This window comes from Homo sapiens, chromosome 9 (assembly GCF_000001405.40).
Source record: "Homo sapiens chromosome 9, GRCh38.p14 Primary Assembly".
Classification (NCBI taxonomy): domain Eukaryota; kingdom Metazoa; phylum Chordata; class Mammalia; order Primates; family Hominidae; genus Homo; species Homo sapiens.
The window spans coordinates 82,587,828-82,614,256 of NC_000009.12; the positions used below are offsets into that span (position 1 = coordinate 82,587,828).

At 38.7% G+C, this 26,429-nt stretch overlaps 2 long non-coding RNA genes across 2 annotated transcripts in view; one reads left to right on the top strand and one right to left on the bottom strand.

The window, feature by feature from the left end:
• Positions 1-13,900, bottom strand: part of LOC105376110 (uncharacterized) — a 72,772-nt gene extending 58,872 nt beyond the window's left edge. The window contains exon 1 of the long non-coding RNA XR_001746780.2: positions 13,329-13,900. This is a non-coding gene — a long non-coding RNA (uncharacterized LOC105376110). The remainder of the gene's footprint in view (positions 1-13,328) is intronic.
• The window catches only part of LOC107987087 (uncharacterized), a 288,244-nt gene that overhangs the window by 95,876 nt on the left and 165,939 nt on the right, over positions 1-26,429 (top strand). The gene's annotated exons all lie outside the window — the stretch shown is intronic.

A 26,429-nucleotide genomic window follows, 5' to 3' on the forward strand; every position in this document is an offset into this window, starting at 1 on the left:
TCAGTTTTAGATATCCCAAACTCACCCCTGTCAGCAAACCTCTGTTGGAGTCTCCCTCCTTGGACTCAGGCATACTTAGGTTTACATCTCAGTTTTACTACTGATAAGTTGTTGTCCTAGGAAGATTATTTTCCAGTTTCCTCTTCTATAAATTGGGAATACAACATGTTTCAGAAAATTTTTGGAGAAAACCTGAGCTACTTTGTACAAATCTTCTAGCATGTAATAGTTGCTTAAGAAAATTTACTTCTTTTCCTCCATTTTAAATGAACATTTTATTTTGTTATGAAGGTATACAATTTGAAGACACCTGTGAGAGAAACTAACTAATGAAATTGATGAAACGAATTAATTTTTTTTTTTGCTAAGGAAGTGAAATATGGATTGTTTATATTTCCTATCCCTGCTCTAAGTCTTTGCAGCCTCTGCAGGCTTAAAAAAGAACACTCACAAGCATAGAAAAAACTATATCCATATGGGAAAAAAGTCACCAACATCCCACATGACTAATTTCTTAGAAACCACTCCCCGAAACACCAACCACTTAATATTGTTTGTGCTGTGGCCTTTGTTCCCAAGCAAGACATGTATTCTAAAAGTTCACATGTTCTTCATCAAGAGTAATCTTCAAACCCAAAGGGAAAGATCTCGAAAGCATTTGAGTTAATACATGCCTCTCACTAATGTAACTAAAATATTCCAGTGTTTTCCCTTAATACTCTCAATTTACAACTAGCAGACAGATGCTTCTTCTCAAAGGCCTTCATAAATCTTCCCATATGAGATGAAAATGAAGGATTTATTCTTGCCCATCTTTTAATTTTACTCAACACTCAATGAGTTATTCTTACAGCTGGTATTTCAAATGTATTAGTAGAATTTATCACTCAAAGGCTTATGCAAGGACTAAATTATACTAATGAATTGGCTATAAATTTGAAGTCTAACACGAGGCCAAATATTTTCTGGCTTCATTTCTGTATCTCAGCAAATGGCTTAATTTGCTCCCTACTTATCCATTACTGCTAAATTGTCTTGCTATTATTGTAGTAAATGGCTGCAAACCCTGTCTTGCCCTAAGGCTCAGGCTGAATGGAGTGGAATGAGGACGTTTACCGTGGACAAGAAAGGTAAAAAACCTGCCATCCACTCATTTGTGCTGAGCTGGAGGAGGTAGGAAGGGATCATAGTCCAACCCACCCTTTTCAGTGCCTCTCATAGTCACCGGCTATTCTTAACAGCTGGCATTTCCAATGCATTAATGGAATTTATCATTGAGAAGCTTATGAAAAGGTTAAATTACACTAATGAACTGACTTTGCATTTAAAGTTGAACATGAAGCCAAATATGTTCTGGCTTAGGATTTTTTTCTTTTTTGTATCTCAGCAAACTACTTAATTTTCTTCCTACTCATCCATTATCACTAAATTGTCTTGCTATTATAGCAATGCCTGCTAGCAGTGTTATAGTTAAGAGTCTGTGCATGTTTTCATTATAAGTGCCTATTTTCTGAGATTCAAACTAAGTGGGGAACTATGGAAATCTCACAGGGCTCTCAAACTTTGCTAGAATTAGTCCAGTCTTAGACCTTTCCTTTTGTGCACATTAAAAATCAGGCCTTTCAGAAGAAGAAGTCAGGTATTTTCCAAAACTCTCTAGTTTGTGTCCACTTTCTCTTGTGTGCTAGCTTTAATTTTAGATGAAAACTTTGTTGATGTTTATTTTAGCTTCTTCCTGTTTTCTTTCCCATGCTCATTGCTCTTTCGTATTTCAGTGAAGCTTCTTGTACTTCATACTTGATTGTGAAGAGTATATTCTCTAACAACCAATCAAGGAACAAGACTAAAAAAAAAGGTAGAGGACTTTTTAAAAGTTTTCATCTGTGAAATAAAAATGAGAAAGTAAAATAATCAACCTCAATCCCTTAAGTTATATAACATGCAGAGTGAAAAGATTAAAAATCTTGGACTTCAGAATTAAGTTTGGGAGGGAGGGACAACCAGAAAACAAAAACCAAAGAAAACCCAAACAAAAAACCCCTTCGCCTTTGCTCAGACTTCTAGAATCTGCAAGACTCTGAATCTCTATTCTAGTATCACCTTCCATGCTATAGTAGGTCTTGGAGAGGCCTCAGTGCTGCTAGAGGGTCTCATCCCCAAATTCTGTCTTTTCTTTAGACCTAAGAGGTCACTCTTCTTCTTCCCTTTCTTTGCAAATAGAGTTCAGCCAGAGATCTTCCCAAAATGGCCTAAAACCCAAGTCTTCACCTCCCACAGAACAATTTCCCCCAAGCCAAAGACTTAGAGGTGGAGGCTGCATCATCACAAATTCCTTTCACTGGGAAACTGACGCTTGGGCTCAACTTCTCATCCCATGACTCAACTCTGGTAGAACTTATATTTTAGCAGGAATAATTTGACAGTATTTCTCCACCCTTTTTAGTTACACACACTCTTGAACTTTCAACTGCATTCCACAGGAGACTTCTAGACTCATCTCCCTCTATCAATTGCTCCCTGATTCAATGATCTGCCCATTCATCTCTTCACAAAAATCTCAGATATTAGCCATCTTCTTTTCTTGTAATTCATCCTCTGTGTTAAAAATTGTTAAGGAGGAATGAGAAAACCAATTATCCTATGCCATAGAGAGGCTCTCTCATGTAATGCCATGGGTCAAGTTATACTGAGTGGGGAAGCAAGGTCTTCTCCATGTCATCTGGACCATTCTGTAGTTTCATGTGATACTCTTAGCTTCTACTGATATCTTTCTGAACATACTCCAAGACTACTAGCAAGAAGACACTTATGAATTTATCCAACAATTCATTTTCTTTTTGATAACCTTGACTTTCTGAATAACCTCCCAATTCCAATTACCCCAGAGTACCCCACAGGCCCAGCACAGAATTTGTTGCAACTTTTGAATGTTCAGAATCAGGTTCTGCTTCAGTTTCAACTTTAGGGAACAGACCTTCCCAGACATTCATAGCAGTCTCACATTGCATATGAGGACAATGGAATGTCCTATCCATGCATTCTGCTTTGCATTCAGATCTTTGCTATGCCTTCTTTTTATATATGAAGGAAAATAACTTTTCCACCTATTAGGTTAAACTGAACAGGTGGCATTGTGTGCCACTCTCAGGTTCAAAATGATTTCTCATTTGCATGTGCCAAGAATGAAAGCAGAGAACAACCATGTTTGTGGACTCTTCCGTCATGGGGAGAAATCTCACAGCTTCATGATTTCTCATAGGTGCTGGCTGAGTAGAGCTATTCAGAGTGAGACAACGCTAAAGAAGCCCTGATTACTTTTAAAAATTCTTAGTGCATTTTAAAATTGTAATTTTTTGTTAAGATTTCCTTACAGGGAAGACCCTGTTCTTTCGGCCTATGTCATCCTCATCATTTGACTCCTTACCTTTTCGGGGAACAGAATAATGCCATCTCTGATTAAGATCTGTGTGGCAATTGGAGAAAGTTCCAAAGATATATGAAACAAGGAAAAGCCAAAGGATCAGAGGTGATAAGTTGTAATCAGTGAGTTCTGCTTTAAAGTCTAGGGAATTTTTGTTTTTGCCAAGGCAAGTTTACTTTGCATTTTGAAGATATATTGGATGGAAAGGCCACCAATCATCCATCCTCTTAGACATTTATACATATGAAAATAGTATTTTTTACATTTACATTCAGGTAGAAAACAGCATGCCCTAATTCTAATAGCAAGTGATGCTAAGGAAAACAAGGTACTGCACCATGCCAAAGTGAAAGACATTAGCCATAGCAGCAAAAAGTAAAACATACACGTAACGTGCAAGTGATTGCAAAGGGAGGCTAATGTTCAAACTTTGTTGTTCGGTTTTCCATTTCATTTCTTTTTTAGTGGGCCTAAATTCATTTTCTAAGAAATTATGGCCATGTTGCATATGCATTGATGGTGGCACATTCTGGACCATATGTCAGCAAAAGCCAACCCATCCTTCTGCAGTTGTTCTCCAGTCAAATTTGTTAATTGTCCAAGAAGGAATACACACACACACACACACACACACACACACACACACACACACACACATAAATAGTTGCCAGTATGACTGAGCAACTGAAAGATTTCGCATGACTGGCTAACAGTTTAAGATGCTACAGTCAGATATATTAGAAGATCTGAGAGACATTCTTTCAGGGATACCCATCTCCAGCTATCCTATGCAAGACCCTACATTTCCTGGCTCCATATTGTTGCTCCCACTGTTCCTTCTTTTTAAATTTCTCTTCTCTCCTTCCTTTGTACTAATCCTTCAGAACCTAGGCCAAATACCACTTCTTAAACTTTTATCTTCTCCCAGTTCTGAAGTATTTACTGCCTCCACTGAACACCATAGCAAACATACCTATAAGGACACACTGGAAAGAGTAAAGTGTGTTCATTATGAGCAAAGGCCTTTAAAATGTAAAGATCTGGACTTAAGTACTAGTTCAGCCTCTGACTGTTATAGCTGTGTGACACCTAGCACGTTTTAAACTTTCTAAGTCTTGGTTTCCACTTCTATAAAATGAGTAAAATAAAATCGATCTTGTGGTGTTGTTGATATGATCAAGTGAGATAATGGATGTAAAGCATTTAGCCAAATGTCTGTTCTATAGAGAATATGCAATAAATGTTGACTGTTGATATTACATCAGAGCACTTTCCACTTTATTCCTAAATTCTATGCATAGCTCTGTATCCACCACCCTCCCACATCCCCCCACCAAATTCTAAGTTCAACTAAACTGAATCAGGTTTTCTACACCTGTGCCTTTCCCAGAGGTCCTAGGACAGTGCCTTGCACTGAATACATTTGTTAAATAGAGGAATGGTGGAGATTTTGAGCTATCCACTTGTGTTTGGCTCTTGAAATGCATCATCTTTTCAGATTACCTTGGTGAGGTCAATTGGAAATAGGTATCACATTTCAGAATGCAAATGAGGAGACACAAGAAACACAGTGGATAAGTGTTGGGACTGAGGGCATTTCAGATGACGACATGTGTGTCCTAGTTCATCTATAAGCTCTCAAAAAATAAATAAATAAAAACAATACAGACGCTCAATAAAAAAGTATGTACTGGGTCTGTGACAACCAAACTGCCAGTCAATCTGGTTGACTCGGTGGAACAACAGTTTTTGAAATGTCAACATTTTGTATGAAACATCTGGTTGTTGACAGAATTAGCCATTATAAGAACTAGTTGTCAGTCAGCTCTTGGATACCCAGGCACTAAGCTCTATTTTGAGCCTTTGGATTAATTGCCAAAGCTGAATTCATAGGCAAAGATTTCTCATTATTTTAAATTCTGAGCATGAACAAAAAGTAGGTGTAATTAACAAAAAATAATAAGTGTATACTTAAACTATTTTATTCACAGATCAAATTGGGGGATGGTCATTTTATCATTCTAATGATGTAAGATGGTGTTAAAATTCTAGGTTGCTAGTTCCCCAGGCCTCAGAGAATTCTCACCTCGGTAGAAGGTGAAAACTTAATTTTTCTCAGTATTTAACATTCTTAAGACTTATTAAAAAACATACCATGGCACCGCGACTTTTAATTTCCTCATGACTTATGTAAATATGAGGCCGTCTACAGCTGGGTACATGTGAGGTTTTCTTCACTCTATCCTTCTTTAAGAGAATTGTTTTTGAAAAATCATCTTTAATTTAGAGAAGCATTGTGCATAAAAGAGGCATGTACACTGCCATCTGCCAAAATGTGTCAGAAGGCTCCCTGTGGCGAAGCTCACAGCATCCTGTGGCTTTCAACATCATTACTTGAGGGATTCGGCAAGGTTCCTCCTAAACACTGCTGAGGCTTTGCTGAACATTTGGCAGCAATGAGATTACTTTAAGCGGCTCATTTTGGTTATAGCCTGAAAAGATTTCCTGTTTTTATGACGTAGCCCCCTTTCTAAGAGGGTGGGGGGTGAGAAGGAGGTGGGGCAGTTGGCCATCGCAGAGGAGGGAAGGAGACCTTGTCTTAGACTCAATTGAGGAGTTCTGGAAAGTGAGACATCCTGTTCTAAAATACATGACTCAAGGCAAAGCAGCTTTAGGGATTCACCTTGGTTAGAAACTAGACTCAAGAGACAGAACAGAGTAGAAGTTAGAGCTACTGGTTTGATTTCCTGATTTTTACCATCAACATCTGCTGCAGTGGGAAGATTATAGACTGAGTCCCCACTGGGACCCATGTTGGCACACACAGACACATACATTCAAACAGACATGTCATGTACAGCTAGAATAATCTTCCTTAAATATTACTTTTCTAATTCTTTATACAAAATCCTCCTGCAGTGTAAGTTTTCAAATCGAAACCCTTCAAGTCAGTCTTTCAAGTTTTTTGTCAATTTACCTCCCCCGTCAACACCCTGCTGCTCTTCCCCTCATTTCATTATTCCTGAACGTGATGCTCAGGACTCGACTAATCTATCTGCACCTACACCCTTTGCTATGCATCTAGTGCCTTACTATCCCATAACTCAGTAGTTTCCACATTTTTAAACCTGCAAATCCTTTCAGAAAATGGAATTGTAGATAGAAATTGATTTCATCAAATGGGTAAAAGCAGAACTATTCTGTTTAAACAGGAATGGGGGGCTTTCATCTCTGTCTCTTGAGGCCCCCATTGCTCTCCTTGCCATTTTACAGTAATTACCTGAGTTCTCCTGTGTAGGTGTAGGTGCTACCAAACACATTTAAAAACCAAGGGTCTAATCTCTTTCTTAGTAGCCTCTCCAAACACCAACCAAACTCATTTGCTCTATTAAAGTCCTACGTATCTACTTCCATGGATTCAGATTGCCCCTTTATTCTGCTTCCCCTCGGCATTTACTGCTTTGTTTTGTAAAACAGTACACAACAGGTGACTTGATATTATGCTTCTTAAGGACAAAATGGCTTGACTTTATCCCTCCCATTCATCTCTAACTCCTGTAACATGGGCAGGGGCTGGCATAATAGTCCATTGAATAAATAAGTATAGAAGTTACTCTCTTTCAAATTACAAAGGTTTCAATTTACAAATTTTCATGGATGTGAGCAATGCTATGTACCAAAGGCACGACTCTTCTTATCACCATTAGATAGCAATGCCAATTGCGTTTGGACTATTAAGTCTTGGCTACTGTCTTGATCCTGAAGGAGTGTCTTTTAACAGATGAATGTAAATGCATGTTGAATGGCAATTTTCAATCAGCTGGAGTTCAAAGCTGAAGCCAAAGAAAAGCTAACAACTCTACCTTTTAAAGAACCATCAACAAGTGGAACCAACCAGCTACCCGACCTTTCTAAGAGTCACCTAAAAATACGAGGTGCTACAACCCCATCCTTCACCCCAGCTCCCATTCTCCTAACTGCAAATTTAAGGAAAAGGCTGGGGGAAGGGGAAGAGAGAGAAAGTTATGAGAATCAGTGGTGGCAGCAGCTTTGCGAATATTATGTTTTCGTGTTAAGAAGTTTTTTTTTTTATTTTTCTGCTGTCTTAAAGCCAAGTGAAGAGTCCTCAAAGAGAGTCACTTAAAATGAATGGGGATGCCTGCAAAGACAAGACCCTGCACATCATTCTCCTTATAGACATGGCCTAGGTAGTGGACTTGCTGCTCTGCCCTTTATTTTGCTGAACTAGGGAAACATGAATTGAGAGATGAGAGGTTGAAGAGAAGGGGAGGTAGTGGAGCAGCCAGCCTTCCTATTATTGGGCTTGGCAAAGAGGCTGATGTTTCCTCTGAGTTTGGTGAACACTGAAGAAGATATCTGGACCAGGGTCAACTTGCAGGGTGAGAAGTCTGTCTGACAGGCAAACAGAATGCCAGAAGCTAGCAGCTGTGGTGTGTACTGACAACAACAGCAGCTCGTTGATGGGTGGAGGGTGGAAGAAGACAAGGAGATGTGTGGAGCCCCAAAGGGCCCTGCAAAAACTTACACGTGCACCCTAGGTATGTGGATGACTGGGTGCTGAGGCCAACCAGCGTTGGCCAGAGAAGCAACAACAACCCACAGAAAAAGATCGGCCATGGATAAACATCAAGAGATGGGTGCCCTTTTCCCCCAGTGTCTTTCCTATACTTTAGCATTGTAGGAATCAGGTCCTTGAAAGGGAAGGGCTGGTACAAATTCAACTCAGGGTATGTCTAATGTTAGAGGTAGCACTAAACTTAAGGGAGGAACTAAGATAAAATCTGAGAAGAGAATTCTCTAATCTCTTTCTTAGTAGCCTTTCCAAACACCAACCAGTTATAAGCCAGACTTTGATTAAAGGGCCTGGAAAACCACCAAGCTTTCTAAAATGTCATTAAGGGATCTTCATTGTCATTTGGGCAGAATATGGTTAAGTAGTGCTTGGAAAAATGAAATTGTTTCACGTTCTTATCCCTAATGAGTTGAGGATGCCCAATAAAAAGTTAATTATATTAAGTTATAATGAAAAAAGGAAGCCAAACTGTAAACATTGTTGTATAAGAATTTTAAGAGAACCCCAAAGCAACAAAAATCTGTAATTAGAATTTCTACAGCCCATCTGCCTTGACCAACCTACGATTGGTCACCTGTATAATGTCACTTTGGACTCATGAACAAATGGCCTTTTTGAAACTTGTTGGTAAAGAGAGGTGCTTATTTCAGTATATGAAGTAAGTTCTTACTGGTTAACATTAATTTTGAACTAGATTTTTAAATTATAAACATATAAATTGACTTACATAATTTTAGTAATTTTATAAGCTATATTGCATAGATTTTATAAGTTGTATATTAAAAGTCAAATAGGTCAGATAGCATAATGTAAAAAGTTAAAGCCTCATCCTGCCACATGTTCACTTTCCACCTGTGACCATTTATTATCAGTCTCTTTTTTATTTTTCCAGAAATGTTCCATGTCTCTAAAGCATGTAGATGTATGAATGTATTTGTCTTCTTTATAGCAAAAAATGGCATTTACCAGACACAGTGTTCAACAACTTGCTTTTTTTTTCATTAAAACTGTATCTTAGGCATGCCCTTATGTCAGCACACATTAATTCACCTCATTCCTTTTAAGCACTACATAATATTCCACTTTATTTTTGCCTCATGCTTTAACCATTTCTCCATTTATGGACTTCTAGCTCAAGGTCATGTTTTTAATGTGTTGTCACACAATAAATCAATGACTATTCTGTCACACATATTTGCCTACTTCTAAAATGAGAGCTCATTTAACTGTGAATTTACAAACTAATGCTACAATGAATGATATTTCTTCAGAATGCAGAATCTGGAGTATTACATAATATTAAAAACTTGGCAAGTAATAAGAGATTAAATTATACTCCATATAGCTGATAATATTACAGAATTTTAAAATGCCGCAATTTAACCCTCAAAGTTGGCAGTCCATATATGAGAAAAGCCAATAGTCTTATTTAACCACTACACCCCACAGCACCATGCTTGATAACACAGCATACTGATAGAACACACGTGCCTTGTTAAGCAGACATATGATGAGAATGAATAGGGTAATACGTACAATCTCCTTGGGATGGGAGATTGCAGACGCTAGCATAAACAGTGTGACTATTTCCTCTCTGGTTCACCCAGGCTCCACAGATGATAAAGCAAAATCGCTACAGCAAAGTTTATCTTCTGTTTGTTTGTCTTCTTCAAAGTAATCTCAACCTTTCTCAGTTTATCTGAGGTCAAAATACCTTTGTTTTAATGAACCAGGGTAAAGGGCAGAGAATGTTACCACCGAGGCTGCCTCTGAGCTGTCTTTAATATCTGAGACCATATATATTTTTTCCTTAAGATAAGTGTCTCTGTCAGCATAAAACTCTTATTCTGGTTTTAAGCCATTCACCGTCCCCGGTTACCGTCACTCCTGCCCACTCACTCTGGCTGCTCACCCGAAACCTGGACCAGCCCTGCCAGAAATCCAGCCCTCCCTGGAAGATAACTTGTGTCCGAAAAGGGTTTTGATATGAGGGCTGTTTATACTCAGTAGTATCTAAGTGGAGAGACCTCATAGGAGAAGCCCCGCTTATTGAGAGGTGTGTCTGTGTGAGCATACGTGTATGTATAAAAAGACATTTCAGTTTTCAATAAACTGTTTACTGTTCAAACATTAAATAAATGTAGAACTGTTTTAATCAGCTGAACAAATATTTAATGTACACTCCAGCATAAGAGCTATGTTTAAAAATATCCTCTATGCTGCTAAGACACAGGGAATTTATGGAAACCAGTGACCTAAAAGGTAAAATAAACATTCATGGGGGGAAAAAATGAAGCACATAGTTTTAAATTTAAACTGATCTCCCTACTCTTTTACTAGCATCCATTAGTATTTTATCCCTCTGTGTGCATGTGTGTGTGTCTGTGTGTGTGTGTGTGTGTGTGTGTGTGTGTAAGTCCTGGGAATTGCTGATTGGATTGCACATCTGCTTACATTTTCTAGAACAGCTAGTGGTCAGGTAACTACCAAATTAATTTCCAGTACATTGCTGTGAGAAGGTAAAACACAGCAAAGTTCATATTCTGTCCAGGACTGCGATTCTTGGAGTAAGTGTTTGTTTGCTCTTTATGTTCCAAACACTGGAGGTCATTCGCGACAGGAGTAGCTAGGTTTCTGTCCACAGCTGTTCCAAGGAATTGTCTAAAACTCTGACAGGAAATGCTAAGTTCTTAGAAAACATTTAATCCTCAGTAGATTCTGTGTAAATATCATAGAAACTTGGAAGAAAGTGTGTATTGTTAGAAAAACAATCTCTTACAAAGATACATGGGAAACTCCTTTAATAAAACAGATGCCATGCTCTTTTCACTAATTTTATTTTTAGTTGTATCTACAAAGAAGAATGAAAAATAAAGGTCTTAAAGTGGCTGGCCATGTGTTTCAACTCTGATTGTCCTGCTAGTCCTGCTAATTTAATTCCACGAGCAGACCTCTAATTGAGGGCTTCTTCTCTGCCTAAATTGGTGCAGAACAGAGGGCTGCAAGAGCATCTGCAGTACTTGGTTGCCCGTGGCATTAATTTCTCTTAGTATTTGGTGGTAGTTTAGATATAGCAGCTTGTGGGGGCTGTGTATTACATGGTTACAAACTCATCTGCTCTTTCTTTAAATACCATACCCACCCCAGGTCACCAAAAGATCTTTAACAGGAGTTTACTTCCCACCTGAGCAGATCGTGGATGTAGTCAATTCAATTTGGCATTCAGGAATTTAAAATACCAGATTTACTGGCTTTCAAATATGTTCCTTTTTTCAGGCAGATGTAGCTTTTCAGTTTCCTTCTGGTGTACAATAGCTACTCATTAAATATAAAACTTGAAGTTTTTAAGTAATTTTGTTTTTGCCATTTCTTTTGGAACATGGCACCATCCACATGTTTATTAAGAAAGTTTATTGCCATTGGTCCAAAAACAAGTTCTTCAATTATAGTTGGAATCTAAGTTGTAACTGGCTCCCTCTAGCTCAGTGACAATTCATCCTTCTGTCCATAATCACTGATAAAGTCGTCATGTTTCTGAGAAGACTAGGAAAATAACAATTCAGAGCCTAAGTTCAGCTGTTCATAACCATAATGAAGAGGAACTGGAAGCTGAGAATTAAAAAGAGAAGAAAGGAAAGGAAGCTACTTAGCAATCAGAAGAAACACAGTGTTTATGAGATCATTAGAAACCCATTTGAAGTGCTTTTTCCTAACTAGCTTTAGCAAAAAGGAAGTTGTCAACTTAAGTCAATGAATACAACCCTATATCCACATGACTGTGAAGCAATTAATGCACCTTAATACCATAATGAAATGGTTAGAAATTATGAAAAAGCCTCTTCCAAATTTGGGGCTGTTTTTCCATGTGGGGGCTTTGATGTCTGTGCTGTCAGACAAAGCTGGCTCTTATGTCAACAGAAAGATGATGTGCTTGGCAACAGATCCACAGGCATAATGCAAATATACCTGCCCTCCTTCTCAATGACCTCTGAAATAACTACTGTATTTGGCTGAAAAAATAGGAAATTAGAATATTTTCTTATTTAGCTTCGGTAGAGCCTTGGCTATAGCAATCTCTGAAGCACCATGAAAAATGTATGGTACTTCCCATTGTGTTTTTAGACATGCAACACATAAATACAGAGATAGCAATGAAAAAGGTCTCCATGCTGATGTGGCTTAATTCAGGCTATTTTCCTCTCACTGTTAGCTTGCTATACCTGATTTGAGGGTACAGTATTAACATACTATCATCCTGAGGTGGTTTAATTCAGGCTTATTTTCCTTCTCCATCCCAGCTTTCTATACCTGACATGTGGGTATGGTATTAACATATCATCCACATAATGAGGGCTTGCCTGGACAGAATAAGAACCTTAAAGGTAGATCCCCCGTGTGCTTTTCAGACCTTGGACTTTTGCATACCAGCCTAGAGAATAGAATTAGATTCTATTCAGTATTTACATTAGTCATTTTCTCCTCCTGGAATTCATTTCAAAACAATCGCTTCTTCAGGTTTTCCTTCTATCCTGCTGTTTTGTTTAGTGTTATTATTTCACTTCCTCTCCATACTGCAAGCCATAGGTATAAGACAGCCCATCCATCTATTAACAATTAATTATTATCATTATAAATGTTATTTCCCTTGGTTTCTTATTCTTTAGTCAGGCTTGAATTTAAGGTGATCAGGGCACAAAGGGAGGCTTAAGCAGGAGCTGCAGACATCTCCACATAGCACGGTGGATGAGATTTCCTTACAGGCAGGGAGGCAGGCTTATCCTGGAAGACCGGGAACTCACCTGAACCATCCAGGGGATTATGACCACCGGGTTCACTGTGGCAGCCTGGAGGACTGACAAGTTAACCCAACACACTCCGATGGCTTCACAATTGCCCAGAAGTGGAGATTGGGAGATAACAACAGACTTAGCCACCCTAACCACTTACTTTATAACTCAGCATATTACAGATGGAGGTATTCTTCCTGACACTCCAGGAGTTCCTGCAATAAGCTGGGGAAGCTGTGTAAGCAACTGCAGTATCCCAGAACTGTCCCAGAGAGGCCTCCACAGTTGGCCCTTCGCAGACTTTGGAGAGCTGTATCTGTACACTCCACTGCCTGCAGCCAGGTTTACTCAGTAGAAGCCCCACTATCCAAACAGAGTGGGTTTCTAGTCAGAAATGAGCATCATCACAAGCTGGTAAACACAAACAAAGCCCCCCACATGGCCCCTTTCTTTGAAGGGTAGTACAAATCCAAGGGTCAGCGAGCAGGAGAATATCACCAAACAAAAGGAAGCTGTGTTTGCTCACCATGAAACACGAGCAGCGCATGTCTTGGGGAGGATTTACTGTAGCATGTCCAAAATAAACGGACATGGGTGAGTGGGTGAGGGTGGGGTGGTATTCCTGCTTCAAAGTCTCCTCCACGCTGCTCCTGGAGCAAGAGACCCCTTCAGGATTTCTCCCCACAGGAAAGCACTTATGAGCTTGCCATTTGTAGATTCACTGTTTTTATCTGTTTCAAACTGGAAGAGATGACAGCCCTTCTGTTTGCTTTCTGTTGATGTTAAACAGATGCACCGGTCTATTACAGCCACATGGGCCTAGTTCAAGATGAGGCAGCAATAGGAATGTAGTTGCTCCTGGGCCAATGTGGAGAGAATGAATTTGCCTATTATTTTGTATATACATTCAATATTTTTATTTTAAGGTTCCAGTATTCCCAGTGGGTCAAACTATACCTACTCTTAGCTCTTTTCAGAAGCCAAGAGTTCTCCTCAACAGACCATGAGATAGACTCCAGGAATTCTCTATGACTTCAAAATCAGCTATTATTACTTCAGGAGATAAGATCGAGTCTGCAAGTATTTATTTTCTCAAACCATGATTTGGCTGTGAAAGGCAATGAAACAGGAGAAGAAAGAGTTGGGGGAAGTAAGAATGGAAAAAAGCAGATGTTGGGTTGGTCTTTAATTATTTATATATTTTTAAAGTTTGAACTTCATTTGAACCAGTTTGAATTCTTTGGGCTTTCTGATGGCTGGACATCATAGTGAACGAAGCTGCCACCCACACTGGAAAATCCTCACGTTTTCTAAAAAGGATTTAAATTTAGATATTTTACAGCTCTGCTTCTGGAGTAAGATGCAATAAAAACTGAATTGAAGATATTTTAGGTTGCAGAATTTTTACACTTTTTTCCTGTGTAAAATAAGATTTTTGTAGGCATTAGAAGTCTCAGATCATTTTTGGAAGTGGGTAGGGGTTTAAAATATAAACAGATTAAATTAGTAATATGATGACAACCTGGATTCAAAAGTTTCTATGAAGTTTGAATTATAGATAACATTACCTCAGAATTTTTCCCTTAGAGGAAAACAGTTCTGAGATGGAAATGAAACTGTGGCAGACATATTCCATCAGGTGAAGGACAACTGGCTCCTGGCTTATAAATACCCAGGTGGAAAGTCATTTGGAGAAACCCAACTCTAGAGACTTGAATATGCCTGAAGTTTCCAGGAATAGATGTCAAAATAGGACAAGCTTCCGGAGACAAGGAAACTCAGACTGGCCCTTTATGCCACTGCCCTCCCACTGCACTGAGTAGGATAGTCCATCTTAAAGAGCATCGAGAGTTACAATATTCTGCAAGTTATTTCTTTGAACTCCCCCGCTTGCCAGATGGTATTTTCTTCCCCATGGTGATTCAACTATATGATGACCAGGTACCCAGAGTTTACTATGGAGGTCTGTACACAATTGAGAACAACCTTATGTAGAAGCAATATGTGTCCCAAAAGATAATGTCAGCTTCTTATGACAAAGAAAGCTTTTGTTCTGAAAATTTTCACTTAACACCATGCATTAATGTTCATTTGCTTGTTTGTTTGCTTTGCGCATTTTTGAAGACTTGGGATTATAATCGCCCGTTTTCCACCAATAAATACTATAGCGATGGATACACAATGAAAACCAATCATTCTACAAAATTAAGTGTGTTAAATTGAACATCTACAGACAATTGTTGTTTTCTATTTGACAGATCCTATAATGAAATGGCTAAACTTTAAAAATCTTTTCTTTCTGTAATTAGATATGTGTCCAAAAGGAAAAATATACATGTATTAGATTCGGAGCCTGTTTAGCCCATTTTCACACTACTGATAAAGACATACCCGAGACTGGGTAATTTATAAAGAAAATGAGGTTTAATGGAGTCACAGTTCCACGTCGCTGGGAAGGCCTCCCAATCATGGTGGAAGGTGAAAGGTATGTCTTACATGGCAGCAGGCAAGACAGAATGAGAACCAAATGCGAGGGGCTTCCCAAGATGAGATTCGGGTGGGGACACAGCCAAACCATATCAGAGCCTATATGTATATTTATATACAGATTCCAAATCTAATTTTGAAATAAAGATATAAACAATTGTTAGCTTTTTAAAAAATGAAGCTAAAATATGATTTTTATGAACAAATTATCTTTGGATTATCAAATAAAATGTTGCATGTCTTTAATGAGAGCAGTGAACTAATATATGAGTAAAACTACACATTTTAAAGCTGTGATCATCTAAGGCTTTGCTAAGGGAATTCCAGTTGATAACATGATTCCTCCTCTTAATTAATAGCCACTTGGGATGTACTAATGAAAGACTAACATGTATTAATTCATTCAATACACATGAGAGTCCAGTTATACATCAGGTGCTGTAAAGGAGCTTGTAAAGGAGTTTAGTGGAGAAAGTGGGCATGTAAACAATAATTATATGTAGGGTGAACAGTTCAATAGAAGAGGCCTGTATGAGGTATTATAAGCAGGAAGAGATAATCAGGGACTGCCTCACAGAGGAGGTGTTCTCTGAGCTCAAGTTTAAGGTCCAAGTAAATCTTAACCCCTACCCCAAAAATGTAGAAAATGCCAACCCCATTAGCAGGTGCACTGTAGGGGCTCCATGATCGTAAGTTCTCTTATTCCCTCTCCTGATATTCTTTTAAGCTATGGGTTGTTATTTTTAAAACGTCTCTAGATTTCCCAAACTTCAACCTTGGCAGTCACATTCAATAATTAAAATTTTCCCATAACTGACACAAAGACACAATTATATTAAACATTAAATATTAACTTGGTTGCCTTCAAAAAACTATACAGTCTACAAAGATGATCCTAACCTCTCCATTGTATACTTTATATATACTTCATGTACAGTATTCTATTCTGGTTATCAGATTATCATGGAGACATGAGTAAACATAAGTCTGTACAGGGGTTAATGACAAGACAATGAAGGAATTTCAAGCTTTGCAAATAGAGTCAGTTGAAAGAACTATGTATGTTTAGCCTAAATAAAAAGGAAAACATTGCTTTTTATAATTTAAAATCTATCATGTGGTAGACACATTTGACTTATCCTGAATGTCTCCAAGTAATATATTCAAGACTAGGTAATAGAAGTCATAGGGTGATAAAATGTGGCTCAATTTAGGGAAGAACTTTCTAATGCTCAAATACTCCTCATCAAGCTTAGAGCAAACAATCTGATAGGCCTTACTGAGATATATTCAACATCACCTAATTGGCTGGATGGATGCATAGAAAAGTCCATTGCAGCACTGATATTCTGCGATTCTATGATATCTAATAGAAGCTAGATTTGGGGTATTTTTTGTTTTGTTTTTATTTTGTCTAACAAAATAAAATCTATTTTTCAGTCTAACAAATGATTCATGGAAAATATCAAGTAAGTCATTCTGTGAAATTTTTGCACCTCAAATTGTGTATGTAATATCCCATTATTCATATACATATAGAAACATGTTGGTGACTAATATTCACTTCTCAATATTTGTATGATAAATGAAGTCCAAAAATACTCTTGATATTAATTGACAGCCTTTGTAAATACCCCCATCAGTTTGGAATAGAAGCAGGACCCTTGCAAAGATCAGAAGGCAATGTCCTACAGTGAGAAAATTGATACCATGAAACAGCAATTCTCTTTGAAGCTCAGAGAAGAGGTCCACAGAGGAAATTTAAACACACAAAAGCCAAGATTTGCCAACTATGGGGAAAAATGTCAGCATCTGAAACTATTTCAAGCAGCAGTCTAATTTCTAGCAGTGGTAAATTGTCAAGACTGGACTGAAGAGGACCAGTGAAGTGGTGCTTTCCTCCCCTAAATCTCGTGTCTTAAACAACTCTCATAGCAACTGGTTAGTAGGGTCAGAGGACCCAAGAAGCCAAAGGGCATTTGTCTCAGCATCTGTGGAGTTCACAGCACATGTTATCCTTGGACATTACCCAGTGGCCTGGTGTGGACAGAATCCACTGGGCTTAGTTTCATAGAGATAAGCAAACACTAACAGCAACTGAAAGTAAACTTCAGAAACACATTTTTATAAAGGAGCCTGTGAGTCTGAGATTACACTTATAAAATCATCTGTACAAACACTCCTGGGACCACTCCTCCCTCCAGCCAAGTCATATGTATATGTATACACACAAGCCTCTTGAATTTTTATTTACATAACATAAAATTAATCATTTTAAAGCGAACAATTCAGTGGCATTTAATACACACACAATGTTGAACAACCACTGCATTTATTTAGCTACAAAAGAATTTCATCACACCAAAAGGAAACCTCATACACGTAAGCATTCACTCCTCTCCCTGCCTTCCCCAACCTGTAACAACCACCAATCTGCTTTCTGTCTGTAGGGATTTTCCTATTCTTGATATTTTATATAAATGAAATACAATTGGAGAAGTGGTCTTTTTCCACTTAGACAATTTTTTTTAAAGATTAAAAAACAGTTTATATATTTTTTACTATACTTTATTTTGGGGTCCAAATTTCCTTATTTGGGATGTTAAAAACTACACTGTCTGTTTGTACAGCTCTCCACAAAGTACCTTTACTCCCTTCTTGTACTTTGATCATTACAGCTATTTTACAAAGCAGGCAGGGACAACCTTATTATCACCATTTTACAGGTGAGAATATTGAGGCAAAGTGATGTGCTCCAGCAGCCCCACAGCAAAGTTACACAATGGTCTCTGGTCCCCTCATTCCACTGTCTTTTCTGCAGCACCACACAGGTTCCTATCTGAGCTCTTACTAATGCATCTAGCCAAGCCTTCTCACACTCAGAAGATACACTCAGAAGATATTCTAATATAGCCTAGGTTCTGTATTTTATTTTTAATTTCAAGAGCATATTTTAAATGAACAAACTAAATGGAAATAGCTTTTGGATGTATCATTACAATTTGCACTTAATAGAGAGCTGTTTTGACACATAACAGTTACATATGACTGGAAGTAAACTGTGCACACAAGACCAAGTGCACACTATTCCAAGTCCAAATCTCCTCTTGGAGTCAGTTGGAAGTCTGCTCAGCTGCCAAGTCTTCAGGTCTTGCGTGGTGTCTGGAGCTTGGCTTTTCTATCTGTACAGTAAAAAGTTGGACAGAAATGACCCTTAAGGTCTCTTCCAGATCAAGATTTTACAATGTTTAGCTAAGCACCAGCTCAAACTCAACACTGAACTCATGTGCTTCATCCACACAAGGTGAATACAACTATTTGAAAGATGAGTCAGTCAAAAGGTTTCTTTCATTATCAATGCCAACAGCCATTCCATTTTGCTGAAAATTTTCAGGACATCGTGAATGTTCTTTATGAAACTCACTATCCCATCTAGATTTTATTGACTAAATATTTTGTATGTAAATAGACAATGCATAAAAAGGCCCTAGTAATTTGGTGATGGCCACATTCTTGCCTTTCTGGTATTAGGCAACATTTCAGACGAGGAGCTCATTCCATGGTAGAGCTGTTCATATTCATCGCTCTTGAATTGTATGCAGTCAAATTAGAAGGACTGCCAAACAGCATTTTTAGCATGTTCATAGACATGTGTTTCCAACCTGGTGCTTAAGCCCAATCATTAACTTGCCATCAACCAAAAATTAATATCTGAATCTTGTTATGCCCCCTCTATAGATTTTCCTGGGTTAGGTTTTATTTTTAGCGGTAGCTTCTGCAATTCACCCAGGATAGGGGAGTAGTCAGATTTAGCAGGGCTAGACTGCCATCTAGAGACCAGAATTTGAGTTCCAACGTCTTGCTCCTCAGTGAGCTTGCTCTTTAACAAAAGCAGCAAACTGCCAAATGAAGCTTGAGTTTGCTTGGGCAAGGTGGGAGATGCACCCCGAATCTAGAGATCATCAAGAGCAAGGAGCTTGTGGTGGCCCAGCTCTGAAAGCCTTCCAGTCACTGAAGGTTAGGTGGGACCTTAATGACAATGAGTAGATAGAACCCTGCCCCCTGGCTCAGGAGTGAGCTCTTAAACTTTGTCTTATAAGCAGAACCCCATTTGCTGGAAGTGGAAACTGCACTCCATGGCAGTTAGAATTTTTACCCAGAAAGGAAGGAGTTCTTCTCTAGAGCTGAGAAGGCTAAAAATGTCTTTCATTTTATGTGAGAATCCAGTATCCATATTTCTCATGAAACTCGAATCTGCCTTTCATTTTTCTGCTTGAGCCTAACTTAAGTTTATATATCCTGGCCACATTTAATACCATCTTCTGCTTTTTGTGACTGCAGTTTAAAAGGACCAGTGGTCTCTAAGTATTTGAAATTTGGATGGGAAGATACTGTTTCTAGTGTTTCCATTGAAGGTGCATAGTTTGGAAATCCCTCTCCTTGTCTTTTTTCCCAAAACTGTCCTTCAGGGCCTCATGCTAAGCCCATCTGTTCCATCAGACAGTCCTTTGATGGATGTGAAAAGGCTGACTGGAGAGGTGCAGAGCTGAGACTGAAGTGGCTGAGATTTATTAATTCATGTCCATTTGGTAACTGTGTCCATAAGTTCTGCCATGGGAATGGTTTAGAAATCAAAAATAGCAACTATTATTGTTAACCTCAAAATCGTAGGCCACAAGAGATCCCAATTTGCTGATAATTAAATAGTCGACTCTGTCCAGCAGAATGTCATCCAAGAGTTTTTCAGCTAACGATGAAAGTAACCAAGAAAAAAAAAAAAGAGAGAGAGAGAAAACAAAAGGTGGACTATCTTGAAAGACTTTTATAAATAGAGGCTAAAGTGCACCATATGCATCCAAGATTCCAGTGATATCATATCCAGCTAAATCTCACATCTTGGGAACTTTTAAATCCAAGAATTGCTTTTGACACAGGTATTAAATGATTTTTGGAAAACAGACAGTTCTGTATAGTATGGTAGAAGAAGCTTGAGTTTTAGAATTCAAGCAACTGAGCTTTGGGTATCTGGTCTCTCACTCACAAGAAAGCCTGGGTAAGCTTCAATTTCCTCATCTATAAAAGTTGGGGAAAATGACATGAAGTCAATGTGAGGATTAAACAGAATAACCTCATTGAAAGTGCCCCACACATAGCTGGTGCTTAACAAATGCTTACATCATTTCTTTCCTTTAAGGTCTGGCATCTGCCTTCCTTACCTGAGCAGTGTTCTGCAGCTAGAAACAAGGATGTCAATAATATTTGTTCTGATAATTTTGCTTCATCCCTAGAATGCTAAATCTTCTAGAGCAATGCTTCTCAAGCTTGAATGTGCATATGGATCACCAGAGGATCTTGTTAAAATGCAGATCTAGTAGGTCTGAGATGTGTCCTGGAATTCTGCATCTCCAACAAGCTTCCAAAGGATGCTGTTGGTTTGGGAACTACATTTTGACTAGCAAGGCTCTAAATCGGGGGTTGGCAAACTACGACCCGATGGTGAACCTCCTGTGTCTGTAAATAAAGTTTTATTGGAATGCAGCCACACCCGTTCATTTACATATTACTTCTAGCTATTTTCCTGCTATAACAGTAGGATTTATGATCTGGTTCCTACCCCTTCTTGACCCCTGCTGGAAACCATTCTCTTTTTTGGTCCTGATGTGTAAACTAAGTTAATCATCTGCAGGAGCACTTGGAGGGCTGAGAGAGGAAAGAGAGGAGTAGATTAAGAGGGAAGGGTTGCTACCTGTATTAGTTTCCTATTGCTACTGTTCTAAATTGTTACAAACTTAGTGGCTTAAAACAACACATATTTACTACAATATAGCCCTATATATCAAGCCATCAGCAATGCTGCATTTCTTCAGGAGGTTCTAGGGGAAAATCCATTTCCTTGCCTTTTCCAACTCCTAGAGGCTGCCCACATTGCTTGGCTCATGGTCTTTTCCTCCATCTTCAAAGTCAGCATGGTAACATCTCTCTGACTCTTCATCTGTTGTCATATCTCTCTCTGACCACATCTGTGAAAACTACCTTTAAGGGCTCGTGATTAAATTAGACCCAGCTAGATAATCCAGGGAAATCTCCTCATCTCAAGATTCTTAGCTTAATCACTTTTTCCATGTAAGATAACATATTCACAGGTGCTGAGGATTAAGGTGTGGATATCTTTGGGGATTCTGCCTACCACACTACCTCAAAGCATATTCTTCAAAACAACAATTTTCCAATCATTTCTCTTTTGTAATATGTTGACACAGCAGTCTTGATGATGAAAAGATGTTAGATGAAGTCATATGATGGAAAGACCATGAAACATGTAGAGAAGGTAGTCAAAGGTTGACCTTTCTGTATTTCCCTGACTAAACAAGGGAAGTATAAGATGTACAAGGATACCTTGTACATCCGTGCAAGTAGACACCGCATAACTCTAGGAATGCCTTGAAGCCGCTCAGGGCACAAACTTTAAAACCATAGATGGAAGCTCTGTCCTTTCCATCCCAGCTGCCTGATCCTGGGATCAGAATTTGTCTACCCCTCTAGCTATTGATCATGATTAAATTGAATTCTTTAGAAATATTCTCATTAGCTCACACTGTATATAAAGTAATTTGCTCACTTTCATCATGCTGCAAAAAAAAAAAAAAAAAAAAATCAACCTGAAAAAAAAAAGTAGGGAAACATATATTACTAGGCATGGAATGAGACTACTTGAGTAGCAAGAAGCTTAAAAACACTCCAGTCACCCAACCTTGGGCTGGTACACAGTGTCCTTACCACAATAAGATCAAGCAACCCAGAAACCAAGACTCCAAGAGGGAGAGAAAATGTCTACCTTTGGCCCTGGGGCAAGAAAGCAGGAATAGGAATAAAGAGAAGAGGAAGGTGCCTTCACAGAAATACTTCTCAGTTGCACCTGTAGCCTCACAAGAAAGGTTTCAAATATGAATCCCTGGCAACTGCCTTCTAGGCTGTTAAGTTTAATCCTTCACATTTTGAGTATGTCATGGTACTCCGTAAAAAAAGCTTATTGCATAAGCCGTTGTGACTCTCCTGAGCTCATTCTCTTCAACAATGGCAGCAATATAGTAACAGATAAGTGACCAAGAAAGTATATGTGACCCAGCCATTGTATAAGATTTCATTTTGCTAAAGGTCAAGATAAATTATCATGAAATCCTTGGATATACTGTTACATGGTTCCTGGGGACAAAAGGTTTCCTTTCAGAAGAGCTTCTCAGAAGCAAAGTGTGCTGTGTTTCAATCCTCAGCTAACTTTTAGTTAATGACTCTTGCCTTTTCTCCTACCAGCTCTGCTTATTAAAAGGAGAATGCAATCTGGAGTGTGTGCTGTCAGAATGAACAGCAGGGTCAGTCACTAATCCCAAATTGTATGTCCCAGGATGCCTGCTACAGAATAGGGAAATGCTTACATTTGATTAACCTTCCAGGTAGAGAAATGGAGGCAGCTAGGGGTCTGCAGCTACATGACATGGTATAATAGTCATTTTAAAATATGGCATTCCTGGGGAGATGCAAGAAAAGTCACAGCATGAGGTGCTGACTTAGTATAGCGAATGAAGATTGTGTCTACACAATAGTGAGCAAGCCTTTGGGGGAAGAACATCACCAACCTGGGCATTCATTTTCTTCGAAATATTTGTAACAATATGATAATCCCTTACATCTATATGGTGCTTTATGGAGAGCATAATGCTTCAAGGGCATCACCCCATTTGATCTTCACCACTGTCTTTTGTGTCAAAGAGTTAGAATCCAGGAGTGCATTCCCCATTAAAAAAAAAAAATCATGCTTAACTGTCGATGCACTTTTTTTTTTTCCAAGGCCTTTTCTTTAACAATTTCTTTAGGTATAAACAATGAAGAGGGAAGAAACATCATTGGATGGGGAGCGGGGAAGTTGGAGTAGTTCGAGAGTAGACAAAATCATACAAGGTTTGGAAAGACATCTCCTGAAAACGTTTCTCTCAGGCAGGAATGCTCACGGGTCAAAGAAAGCACAAGGTCACTTTTATTTCTGAGGCACCAGGAACAATAAGAACAAAAGAGTCTACATGTTGTCTTTCCTAGTAGACAATGAGTTCCAGGTGGGCAAAGGTGCAGTAAAACACCTAGCACTTTTGTAGATACTCAAATAATGTTTGCCGACCAAATGGATGAATAGAATTAAAAAAGTAAGAAGATCAAATTATCAAAACACAGTGATGCACTGCCAGGTTTGATCAAATACATGTGAGAAAACTTGTGAAATACAGATTCACAGTGGCATCTTTTAAAAACAATTGTTCTGATTCTCTAACCTGAGTTGTTATCATTAGTTTGATGCCATAATTTTACCACAAACCTGCTGTGGATAACTCAAGTAATGCATATTTTAATAATGGTTTACTTCAGCCAGCTGTGGATAACTCAAGTAATGCATATTTTAATAATTGTTTACTTCAGCCAGCTGTGCCCAGTTTATAGCCTAGAATGTCTTCATTCTGACAAAAATCTGATGACAGAAATAGGAGCTTAAAAGTCTACAGTTTCGGCCAGGCGCGGTGGCTCACGCCTGTTATCCCAGCACTTTGGGAGGCCGAGGCGGGTGGATCACAAGGTCAGGAGTTTGAGACCATCCTGGCCTAGCATGGTGAAACCCCGTCTCTACTAAAAATACAAAAAAAAATTAGCCGGGCGTGGTGGCGGGTGCCTGAAGTCCCAGCTACTGGGGAGGCTGAGGCAGGAGAATGGCGTGAACCTGGGAGGCGGAGCCTGCAGTGAGCCGAGATCGGGCCACTGCTCTCCAGCCTGGGCGACAGAGCAAGACTCCGTCTAAAAAAAAAAAAAAAACAGTCTGCAGTTTCCTCTCCTGCCTCATATTTTTGTTATTAAGCACATATCCTAATAATTCCTTTTCTACTTTAGAGTCAAAGAGCATCTTGGGTCTTCTTCCACCACTGGGCCTATTCCACCAACAAGCCTCTGAATTCTCACTTACTTACCAGTAGCCTCTTAAACTTGTGACAACAGATGAAAATCCACTCTTTTGCACCTTGTTTACTCAGATCAAGGCACACACAGTTATAAAGCCACCTTTGGTTGGAGAAAGAATTAAGAATCTGCCTTGTCGGTACTAGATTCAATTTTCCAAAGCTAATTTTTAAAAAGGCTGTTATTACAAACCAAACCTTCATGCAAAACCCCACCAAGAATCAGCCTTTTTTTAAGGAGTTTCAAATTCCTTTGTGTGACAACCATGGTTTAATAAGTATGCCAAAATAGATATTGTTCTAGAGAGAAAGCAATAGAGATAAGAAATAACAGTAGGCACTTTTGCTTGAGTCGAGGCTGTAATTTCAAATAGAAGTACAGCATAAATTCTTTGGAAAGGAAAACTTGCTGGAATGTTAACTTTTTAGTCATCAAAAGATGCTTGTGCACATTCGTCTTTAATCTCCAATTTTCTGTACAGCTATTTGTTAGCCTGATAACAGTGTGTTTTATGTTGTTCTCCATTAGCCAGTGCTATAGTTTTATAAGGCATGTAGAGAAAGTGGAGGAAGATATCAGCCTCCTTAGGAGTGGTATTATATTTTGTTGTTGTTGATTTTCGAAGGAATTTGGACAACCAGCTTTGTTCAGGGGAGAGGGGAAGAGAAATGTTTTATTACTGGCCAACTCCAAAATGTAGCAGCTGGCGGGATAAAAACCATTTCTTAAGTTTGAAAGAGATGATAAAAAGCAGTCTTAGCTATCTAAATAACTATGAAATCTTCATGACTTCTTTGTCAAAAGAAGGAAAAGGGAAAAAATAAGCACGTGGAGGAGTATTGTTCCTTTCCTTTTTTACAAAAGAGCCTTGAAATATGTTTAAAAATATTTTATGAGGTCACACTAAAAAAAAAAAGAGTAATTGGAAGAAAAATTCTGCTTGTCTAAGCGAAGAGCACATTTGTAGCGGTAGGGTAAATGTTTTATCGATTGAGAAGCTGGGAAACTCAAGTCATTACTCACCATGGGCTAAAGAATAATTGCTAATGCTCTGGCGGAAAGATTAAAAACAGTTTCTGGAAGTATTTCTTACAATGATCAATGGTGTATCATCCCAGGCCATTGGATCTTCAATAACATTTTTCCCTTTTGGGATACAATCAATTTTTATAATATGATTCATTTGCCAGTGGGCATGCTTTCTTCATACGATGAAAAGGCACTTATGCATCTTATATTGTTGAAAAGTAATCTTATACAGCCAAAGATCAGGCTGTGGTATAGAAACTCACCTGAATTCATCTCTATTTCAAATGGGTTTGGGAAATCACCTAGGGTGGAGGTTGTTTGGGTGAGGGGGAAAGGCGGTGGGCAGTTGCTAGCTTCTTTGTTACTGCTTTGTAACTCTTTAAGAATACTTTTAGCACACTCTGAAAACAGTTATGATCATCGTAACACAAAGATAGTGATGGAAGATGCTATATTAGATTTGAGCATATGCCTCTGTAAGCTTGACTCATTTACAACACTAATTACCATGGCAGAGCTCTCAGGTCAAGGGTTGCCTTACAGCTGTCTACTGGCTGCCCACATCTGACAAGGTCTTCAGCATCCTGCGGCAGAGCTCAACTTCGGTCCACTGCTGCTGAATCCATCAATGCATCTCTGCTTTAATAAATAACAGCTTCAGTCATGAGAGGATGTGCTCATTCCAAAGTTTCTCCCAGGAGAAAAAGCACTGAAAGCTTGGGCACAGTCACTTTTAGGCTCCAGCTTGCCATTGGACTTGTGGTGAGAGAACAGGATGGCACCATGTCCAGGATCTGCCAAATGAACAGGGAAAAAAGAATAGGAGGAAGGAGAAAAAGAGCAATACAGCCAAACCCAGGAAGTGATATAATATTCTTTTGATGGGTGACATGCACTCCAACCTGGAATTTTGTTTGCCTCTCAGAACAATAACGTTTATGAGATTACAGAATGGTTAATTCACTTTCTCCCTATTCCAAATTCTCCTCAATCAACACTCTGGCCCTGTACCCATGGCACTGAACATCCAAATTAAAATAAAAGAAAATAAAAGAATTCTTGAAAATATGGCTTAGATTCCTTATATTTCAAATATCTCCTTGTTTGATAGTGATAT